The following is a 6146-nucleotide window of genomic DNA, read 5'->3' as shown; positions in this document are numbered from 1 at the left end:
AGGACTAAATTTCTAGTGTCACAGTTTGTACTTTATAGTTTGAAGTCAATAAGAAAGCTCATATACCTTCCTAAAAGTCACTTATTAATGTTTGATATTAATCTAATTTTATCATAAATTAAAAGTATAAAACTACAAATTTCTTAAAGATAAAATATCCAAATGGATTCAGTCAAATTAAGCATGATAATATCAAATATCAGAATAGGTTACCATGCAGGAGGTACTGAGTACTTAAAGGGGTGGGGAATGCAATGAACATAAAAGCTGGTACCAAGGGGAGGAGGAGACAGTGATGAATTAAAACATTATCTTAACTAATCCAAGTGCTGGTCTTCAATACTTTCATGTGTATAGACAAAGAGAAACTGCAGAGATTTCTCACAACCTCTGTGTCCATTTTATGCATGTATCTTAGCAGAAACACTGGTGAAATCCCTCCAAAACATATTTATTAGGCATGGAAAAAGCCTTACATGACAGGTGGCATAGGCTCCTTATGAAATCATTGCAGGATGGGAAGCCATTTAGGGCTTCGTAATTGTGAAAGATTGTATAGAAACTGAGGCACTTAAATAGCAGTAAGCATGAGAAAATGTGGTAGATAATGGTGGTGATTCTATTTCTTGTGAAAGTCCACTTACTCTAGTCTGCTACAGTTGTGGGCTTTCCGATTTCACATACCCCAGTCTCTATATTCTCTCAATCCACAGCCTACCTCAACTAAGTCCGTCCCAGGCACCTCTTACTGCAGTGATAATCCATCTGTTAATCATGTTTTCCTCTTATGTCTACTTTCTGTCAGAGAATTGTGGGTGCAAACTGGGAAGGGAAGGAAATTATAAGAATATGTATAAGTACAAATGGAATATGTTGGAAATGAGGAATAGTTAATATCACAGGTCATTTAAACACCTGATGAATTTCATGGATAGTCAGGAATCTTGTTCTTACCTAATCTGTTAATTTTAGATCAGACATTACACTGAAAGTATTGATGAGGGGTTTAAATCAGGTTGCAGCTCACATGTTGTGATAATATTATGTTGATTTTTTGTTTTTAATATGTGAGGAACAGAATAACTGTATACTATTTATTCATAGTGACATTGCAATATTGATTTTAGTACATATTATTATCTTCATAATCACAATTTCCTCCCCATTTTCTTAGTTCTCATAATTTTAGCCACAGCCCAGTTGGCTGGACCAATGGATGGAGAGAATCACTCAGTGGTATCTGAGTTTTTGTTTCTGGGACTCACTCATTCATGGGAGATCCAGCTCCTCCTCCTAGTGTTTTCCTCTGTGCTCTATGTGGCAAGCATTACTGGAAACATCTTCATTGTGTTTTCTGTGACCACTGACCCTCACTTACACTCCCCCATGTACTTTCTACTGGCCAGTCTCTCCTTCATTGACTTAGGAGCCTGCTCTGTCACTTCTCCCAAGATGATTTATGACCTGTTCAGAAAGCGCAAAGTCATCTCCTTTGGAGGCTGCATCGCTCAAATCTTCTTCATCCACGTCATTGGTGGTGTGGAGATGGTGCTGCTCATAGCCATGGCCTTTGACAGATATGTGGCCCTATGTAAGCCCCTCCACTATCTGACCATTATGAGCCCAAGAATGTGCCTTTCATTTCTGGCTGTTGCCTGGACCCTTGGTGTCAGTCACTCCCTGTTCCAACTGGCATTTCTTGTTAATTTAGCCTTCTGTGGCCCTAATGTGTTGGACAGCTTCTACTGTGACCTTCCTCGGCTTCTCAGACTAGCCTGTACCGACACCTACAGATTGCAGTTCATGGTCACTGTTAACAGTGGGTTTATCTGTGTGGGTACTTTCTTCATACTTCTAATCTCCTACGTCTTCATCCTGTTTACTGTTTGGAAACATTCCTCAGGTGGTTCATCCAAGGCCCTTTCCACTCTTTCAGCTCACAGCACAGTGGTCCTTTTGTTCTTTGGTCCACCCATGTTTGTGTATACACGGCCACACCCTAATTCACAGATGGACAAGTTTCTGGCTATTTTTGATGCAGTTCTCACTCCTTTTCTGAATCCAGTTGTCTATACATTCAGGAATAAGGAGATGAAGGCAGCAATAAAGAGAGTATGCAAACAGCTAGTGATTTACAAGAAGATCTCATAAATGATACAATAAGCCCTTCTCGTTAAACATGATATGGCTTTATGTTTCTTTCTTTGATATTTTAGATTCAGGAACTATGAGACATTATGTATTGATTTGAATGTTATTAGACCTGTAACATAATTCTTATCTGATGAATATATGATGAATATATTCCTTGTTCAAAATGAGTCATAAATTCAACACATCTCTACATCTATATTATGCCCATTTAATTTCTTTCAGCAATGTTTTGTAGTTTTTGGTGAACAGGTACTTTATGCATATGTACTTTATATTTATCTCTAAGTTTTATATTTCTGATGCTCTTTTAAGTGACATTTTTATTTCAATTTACAATTGTTTATTCTTAGCTTATGGGCACATAATAGATCTTTGTTTGACATTATATCCTGTAAACTTGCAAAACTTATTAGTTCCATCAGTTTTTTATAGGTTATGTAGGATTTTCTTTATAGATGATTATGTTGTCAGTGAATAAAGACATTTGCTTTTAAAATTCTAGTATGAATTCACTATATTCATTTTGTTGAATGCTGAGTAGAATTAGTTAGAGCAGACATCTTTGACTTGTTCCTGTTATGAAATATATTAAATATTTCATCATTAAGTATAATGTTAGCTATAATTTTTTTCATAGGTACTCTTTAACAGGCTGAGAAAGTTTTCTGTATTCACAGTTTGCTGAAAATTTCTTTTATCTTTAGTCAGGAATGGATCTTGGATTTTGTAAAGCTTTTTCATTTCAGAATCAGGGTAATGCTGGCCCTTTAGAATGAGTTGGGAAGCATCTGCTCTTCTTAAATTTTCTGCCATAATTTTGTAGAATTCATATAATTTTTTTCTTTAAAAAGGGAAGTACTTAAGTATTTTTTCCCATAAGTTACCCGTAAGTAAATCTAAAGGAAAGTGGGAAACTTTGATACGCATTGGTTGCCCCCTGGTGGAGATTTCTGGGTTCTTGATTATTTTAACACTGGAGATAGAATCTGGTGGAATGATGTCAATGCTACCGTGATTAAGAGGTGTGTAGGAAATGCTTCATGTAAGAGAGAAAATAGTCTTTATGAGAATCTGCCTGGTGGAAAGGAGTTGGTGCAACAATAACAATATAAATTAGTGAAAAATTTTAAATTGACAAATAATAATTGTATCTATGGGGTACAATGTAATGTTTTGATACATGTTTAAATTGTGGAAAGATTAGGTCTGTCTTATTGACATACATATCTTTTTTGTGGTGAAAACATTTAAAATCTACTCTGTTAGTCATTTTGAAACATACAATACCTTGTTATTTATTACAGTCACCATTCCGTGCAATAGTTCACTGAAACTTTGTCTAACTGAAACTTTGAACCCTTTTATCAACATCTACCTTTTCCATGTCTACCCCCAACTCCTAGCCTCTGATAATCACCATTCCATTCTCTACTTCTATGAATTCAACTTTTTCAGATTCCACATATCAGTGAGATCATGTGATATTTGTCTTTTCGTGCCTGGCTTATTTCACTTAGCGTGATATCTTCTGGGTTAATTCATGTTGTCACATATATCAGGTTTTCCTTCCTATTAAGGCTGAGTAGTATTCCATTGTATATATACACTACATTTTCTTCATCCATTTGTCAGTTGATAGACACCTGTGTTGATTTCATATTTGGGTATTGTGAATAATGCTGCAATGAACATGAGCCTGGAGATATCTCTTCAGCATATTGACTTAAATTCCTTTGGATATATACAAGGAAGTGGGATTGCTGGATCATATAGTAATTCTAGTTTTAGTTTTTTGAGTAACTTTTATCTATTTTTCATAATAGTATTAATTTACATTTCCACCAACAGTGTACGAGGGTTCCCTTTTCTCTGTATCCTCTTCAACACTTGTTATCTTTTATCATTTTGATAGTAGCCATTCTAACAGGTATGAAGTGGCATCTCACTGTCATTTTAATTTGCATTTCCCTGATAATTAGGATGACAAACTTTTTTTATGTTAGTCATTTGTATTTTTTTTGAGAAATGTCTATTTAGGACCTTGCCCATTTTTTGACTTGGTTATTTGTTTTCTTGATATTGAGTTGAGTCCCTTATATATTTGGAGATTAGCCTTTCATCAGATGTATGCTCTGCAAATATTTTCTCACAACTTGTAGGTTGTCTCTTCACCATATTGTTTCCTTTGCTGTGCAGAAGCTTTTTAGTTTGATGCAATCCCATATATTTTTGCTTTTGTTGCCTGTGCTTTGGGGGTTATATCCAAGAAATCTTTGACCAAACCAACATTGTGGAACTTTTCCCCTATGTTTTCATCTAGTAGTTTTACAGTTTTATGTTTAAACCTTTAATCCATTTTGAATTGATTTTTGTGTATGGTGTGAGATAAGGATACACACCATACACATTCATGTTCTTCTGCATGTGGATATCTAGTTTTCTTAACACCATTTATTGAAACAAATGTCTATTCTTCATTACGTTTTCTGGGCACCTTTGTCAAAAATTTCTTGGTCATAAATGCATGAGTTTATTTCTGGGTTCCTTATTATGTTCCCCTGGTCAATGTGTCTGTTTTTGTGCAAGTGTCATGTTGTTTTGATTACTGTGGTTTTGTGATACGTATTTGTTTTGGGGGGGGATCGATTTTTATTTGGGTTTCTCACAGTGGTTAGAGAACAACCACAGCACAGGAAATGCCTCGCCAAGATTGCCCAGAAAACTGACCAGCTGCATCTTATTGCTTAAAAATACACATATTCACAATAACTGACAAATGGTGATGTGCCTCACACAGGAATGTGTTCACATTTGCAATGCTGTGTACAGACTTCACTTCGTTCAACATAGATTTTGGTTTAATGGAATTCAAATGTGGATGCTTGTTCACAGCCTTGGATTTGTCTGTTTTTGGAGAGATACAACCTCCATGAGTATATCTGCATGAAAACCACAGACAATGAAGGTATTTCTTCATTGATTTATTTATTCTTTTGACTGTAGCAACAAACCCTGGATGACACCCTTCCTTTTAATTCACCTGGAAACCAGACTCAATCAAATCTCCCTGGTCCCCTCACTATTCCTTCAAATTCCCTATTTCTATCTCTTCCTGAGGAGGGTAACCTCCTGTAGCAGGGGTCAGACTGTGACTTGGGAATCAAGCCTAGGTCTGCAGGTTGCCTTTTCATCTTCTTGTAAAATATTGTAGGACACTGCAGTGAATCCAACAGTTAACACTCAGAGCAGTTCCCTGCTCTAACTCAGGAAAGAGACTTCAGAGGGTCAGGTTTCATCCATTTGATCAGTTAACTGAGAAGGATTCATTTTGGTAAAACTTGTTCAGCTTTGAGACACTTCAGTGAGTTGTTTGAGATTTTTTTTTAAATTATATTTTAAGTTCTGGGGTACATGTGCAGAACATGCAGGATTGTTACATAGGTATACACGTGCCATGGTGGTTTGCTGCACCCATCAACCCATCATCTACATTAGGTATTTAACCCAATGCTAACCTTCCCCTAGCCCCTACCCCCAGACAGGCCCCGGTGTGTTGTGTTCCCCTCCCTCTGTCCATGTGTTCTCATTGTTCAACTCCCATTTATGAGTGAGAACATCGGGTATTTGGTTTTCTGTTCTTGGATTAGTTTGCTGAGAATGATGGTTTCCAGCTTCATCCATGCCCCTGAAAAGGATATGAACTCATCCTTCTTTATGGCTGCATAGTATTCCATGGTGTATATGTGCCACATTTTCTTTATGCAGTCTATCATTGAATGGGCATTTTGGTTGGTTCCAAGTCTTTGCTATTGTGAACAGTGCCACAATAAACATATGTATGCATGTGTCTTTATGGTAGAATGATTTATAATCCTTTGGATATATACCCAGTAATGCGATTGCTGGGTCAAATCATATTTCTAGTTCTAGAACCTTGAGGAATCACCACACTGTCTTCCACAATGGTTGAACTAATTTACACTCCCACCAAC

The 6146-nt window shown here is 36.5% G+C and overlaps 1 protein-coding gene across 1 annotated transcript; it reads left to right on the top strand.

The window, feature by feature from the left end:
* Positions 1-1212: 1212 nt before the first annotated feature.
* On the top strand, positions 1213-2151 carry OR4F21 (olfactory receptor family 4 subfamily F member 21). The gene has a single exon (NM_001005504.1). The coding sequence runs from the start codon at positions 1213-1215 to the stop codon at positions 2149-2151; it is 939 nt and encodes a 312-aa protein (NP_001005504.1).
* Positions 2152-6146: the final 3995 nt, after the last annotated feature.

Source organism: Homo sapiens, chromosome 8 (assembly GCF_000001405.40).
Source record: "Homo sapiens chromosome 8, GRCh38.p14 Primary Assembly".
Taxonomy (NCBI): domain Eukaryota; kingdom Metazoa; phylum Chordata; class Mammalia; order Primates; family Hominidae; genus Homo; species Homo sapiens.
Note: the sequence above shows the minus strand (reverse complement) of the source record. Positions and strands in the feature narration are given on the sequence as shown.